At 37.8% G+C, this 4497-nt stretch overlaps 1 annotated feature.

Moving 5' to 3' along the window:
- Positions 949-998: an enhancer, noted in NCBI's record as "active region_7836". NCBI's record gives its function as "activates an Ori minimal core promoter by ATAC-STARR-seq in GM12878 lymphoblastoid cells {active_cell/tissue: GM12878}" and the evidence as "EXISTENCE:reporter gene assay evidence [ECO:0000049][PMID:35858748]".

Here is a 4497-nt window from a genome sequence, read left to right as displayed (position 1 = left end):
CCAGAAATTATAAATGACATATTGGTCTCCAGGATGAGGAATTCATTTTACTTTTAACTCAAGCCCCAAAGAACTAAAATAATAGGGAGAAAAAAATGCAGTTCCCATAGCATAAGCTACCCTTGTGCTTAAATAAGAAATTCTACATGCTCCCTGCACCTCCACCTCCCTACTCATGTCTCCAGATTTCTGCATCATGGAAATTTCTGCCGAAATTTGGGCTTCCAACCTCAAATACAACCACAAGCTGTACTTCCTGCCAGAAAGTAAATTGGTAGGTTGCAGTGTTCTGTCTCCATTTATTACCAAGTAAATGGATTTGGGAGCCCTGTTTTGTTAAGTAGCAATATCTGGCCATGTCTCAAAAGAACACTGTTTACTACATTCTAACAGCTGTGCTTAAAAGTAAACAATGGTTTCTTCCTAATAAAGAGCTTCCAAAATGCTTTTCCCAGGTGTTGGCACATACTGTACTCACTTTAGACATTCTCCATAAAAGTGCTAGGACACAGAATCCCTTGCTTTTATTTCTCCTCTACTGCCCTTTGTGTTGCGGTCTCATGAAGTTCCTGATGTAAAAATGGGCCTTCTCATCGACTCAGGGTAGACTTACAATACAAAGGACTTTGAGAATCTTGGCTAAATGTCATAAAGTCCAATCTAGTAATGTGGCTAAAGAGCTAAAGGCACCTGCGCAGGACCATGCTGAAGAGGGTTCTAAAGTCAGGCTGCCTTTGTGTGCCTCTTGGCTTTGCCAGTAACATTACCTGTGCATCTTGGGGGAAGTTATTTAGTTTCTCTTTGTTTCAGATGCCTCAGCTGTAAACTGGGAGCATGAGTAGTACTTACCTAATAAGAATAGCGAAAGTACCATGTGAGACGTGTGTAAGATTTTTAGAATAGTTTTTTTGGTCAGCGTTAGTTATTTTTAAAATGCCCATCTTCCCTCTTACTGCTATCTCTTCTTCCCTTTTTCCCTTCCTTACCCTTCTTTTCTGGGTCTTCATACTCCTGACTGAAGATCTGATATATTCATGATAACAATGCAGTATTCTCTGGACCTACCCTTTCTCCTGCCCACAGTTGAAAACCTTGTCACCTGGGCCCTCCATGTAGGACACAATGAAGTAATTCATATTAAGATGTTTAATGACTGAAAATGTCTATGCATGTTCTTTTAACAGAACACAAGGTCTTAATTCAAAAGAAGTGAGCTTCAAGACAGGATATAGCCCCACTGGTGGTTGTCACCAGGATATTTTTGACATCTTTCAAGTCAGATATAGAAGAGTGTGGTCAATGTTACCTGATTAAAGGGCTACTGATTGGTTTCCTTGCCCATTTAAAACTTATCGTCATCTAAATAAGAATTTTCATTTGTGCATCTGCTTTGGCATTTTACAGAGATTATCTCAATCCTAAAAATATCTGCAAGGTAGGTGCTAGTATTGACCTTTTACAGATGAAAGAACTAAGGCTCAGAGAAACGATTTTCCCAAAGGCAAGTGAGAGTTAAGAATCTGAGATTTGAGCCTGGGTTGTGATCTAGGTCTGTCTGCCTCTGAAGGCAGTGCTGTAATCACTGTACAAGGCCATATAGAAATAGGATCAGCCACCTGGTTTATGTCATTCCTTCTTCGGGTGTCAACCAGAGGACGGCAGGCTCAATGGCGGCCTCCTCCTGTGATTACCTCAATTCCTAGCACAGTGCCTTAACATAGCAGGGTCCCACTACATGTTTGTGGAGTAATGAGTAGATGTGTGAATCCTATCTCAACTTTGTACCTTCCTCAAGGAATGCGTTGTGACCAATGACTGTTGGCTGAATTTGTTAATTGTCATAATGGCTTTAGAAGTATTAGGGAAGTAAACTACCGCCTCCACTCTACACAAATCGTCTTAGCACATTAAGTCAGAAAAAAACCAGATATCTGAATTACATCATACGCACCTTACTCAGAGCTGCCTGCAGTTGAAAACAACATCTAACATTATATGATTAATTTGATCAATAAGAACTAGATTTTTTTTAACTCTAGGATTTAAATGATCACACTTAGATGGTCCCCACTGTTCAAATTAACTGACCTCTGTGAGATCCTTATTCTTTTTTCTTTTTTTGTATTACCTACCTAACCACAGATGCTCCAGCCTACCTATTTCAGTATTACTGTCTCCTGAGTGTGGTCCTACTTGCATCAATTTCATCATCGTGGGGGAAATGTATTTCTCATTGCACAGTAAGACTGTTGCAAGTTGAATGGTGAAACCCTATAACTGCTTGCTGTGCTGAAAATGAGTCTCATAGTGTCCTATATTTTACTGCCCTATGAACCAAATTACTGAGGAATAATGAAAGTAACAATAACCAGAAGCATAGATCCAATATAACTACAAATTCCTGCTCCAAAGATTGGCTTTCTATTTTAAAATAAAGGGATGTCATGTGGTGCATAACTAAGAAATTCTTTTTGATACTTTGGACTTTCTATTTTTTTAAGTCAAAAAAATGATATTGATAATGTTAAAATACAGTACATAGTTGAGATTTTCAAAGGGGGGTGCCGCTGTGTCTCTCTTGCGTGACTGACTTCTAACTTCAAAATAACAACAAAAATAACCACGGACTAAAACTCCAGGGCACAGAATGAAGATTTTATACCATATCATAATTATAAAAAATAAAGCACATATCTGGGATTCAAATAAATTGCAAAAGCAAAACAGAAAGCTAATGTTGTCTATTAGAATTCAAAAATATTTTTGTCACTCTGAGTTAAAATGGCACAAGAAGCAGCTGATATGTGCAATTGCTTGGGGATATGCAGAAACACCCAACCAAATTTTAAAATGTTAATTACATTGTTATAAATTTGTTTGATATTTTGTTTCTTAGGTTTGTTTTCTTTCAGGAACTTGGTTGTGTTCCCAATGAAATGGTTTGAAAGCCTTTTTAGCAAGTTAGCTTGGTGCATATATATAACATATTAAAAGGTGATTAAAGTCAAAGGGACCTACAATCAGCCAGTAAAGGTTGACACACTAAAACTGTATTTTCTTTTTTCTGAGATATTCAGAGAGAAAAAATTGCCATAACTTATTTTTTACTCCAAAGAGTAAAAAAGAAAAAAATGCTTACTTTCCTTGTCTCTGCTTTTGTGCATTGCTGATTGTGCTGATACACAAATTACTTTCCATATATTGATTTTCTGTTGAAATGAGAATCTGCAAGATCCTCCAAAATGAATGGGCAGGGTCTTAATATCTATAAATAGGGCTGGTACTGATTCAGAGAAACTTCAGTTTTCAAGCTGCAAGTGTTACATGGAAGGAAGTAGGTCCACACTGCAGGCTGGGGATTGATGGTGCCTGAGGTTTCATAAGCACTCTGGACAGCGACTCTGCTAACCTAGGCATCCCTGAGGTGAGGGCACACCATCCAGGGGCAATGGATATGTCACCAGTGTGACCACTCAGGCCATCTAGATGTTGAGTTTTGTCCATTTTAATACAACATAGCCAAAAGGAAACTACAATGTAAGGAATATGATATCATCAGAATAAAACCTAGGTTGAGCCTGGGTAGTATAATCTCCAAAGAGAAGGATTCAGCATCATGTGCCCTAACTTTTCTTTGTATTATTAGAGCCCTCTCACTTTCGTTTCTATTACCATGACGCATATACTCTTGGTTTTCTCACAGTACAGCAGAGGTATGCTAAACCTTTCAAAAACAATTTCAAATGCTGAAGGTAAACAAGCATCTATAAAATACAGATGTTATGGACAGAATATTACAATCTGTATGTACAGTATTAGCATTTTCTTGTAATATTATCCTGATTTTCACTCCTAAAAGAGCATCTTAGACAGGTTTCTCATTTCCTAGCTTTCCAATTGCATCTCAGTTCTTGTTTCTAGAAAATGCCTTTATTCACAAGGTTAGGAAAGATATTTTCACTCTGCTCCTCTCCTGAGGTCATCTAATTCTTTCTAACTTTTAATCTGAGGATAAGCCTTTGCCCTGGAAGAATGCCAGAACAGGATTCATTTTTTGGTGAAAATTGACTCTATGTATAAGAAGTGGTTTGGTCCACAGAGCCACAAAATACAATATTCCCTTCAACTAGCATCATAGCCATATGTGTTAATTAGGTTGCTTTTGTACATAAGTAACAGAAACCTGATTTAACTGGATAAAACACAGAGGAAATATATAGTCTCTCTTAGTGGAGGCAGGAAAGGGACCAGGATTGGTTCATCCAGTAACTCAAAGATGTCAAAAAGGATTTAGTTTTTTTTTCCATCTCTTTGTCTGCCATTCACATTGTAAACTTCATACTAAAGCCAGACCCCTGAAAATAATAAAAATGCTGCCAGTAACAAATGAAGCTACTGGCTTTCTCAACCATTCTGGCAGAAGAGAGAGAAAGCATTTCTTTCTGTGATGCTTACTACAGAGAAGCCTCTGGAATTGTCCCCTGATGTCTTATTGAC

This window comes from Homo sapiens, chromosome 13, assembly GCF_000001405.40.
Source record: "Homo sapiens chromosome 13, GRCh38.p14 Primary Assembly".
NCBI lineage: Eukaryota > Metazoa > Chordata > Mammalia > Primates > Hominidae > Homo > Homo sapiens.
The sequence above is the reverse complement of the archived record's forward strand: the minus strand, read 5'-3'. Positions and strand labels throughout refer to the sequence as shown.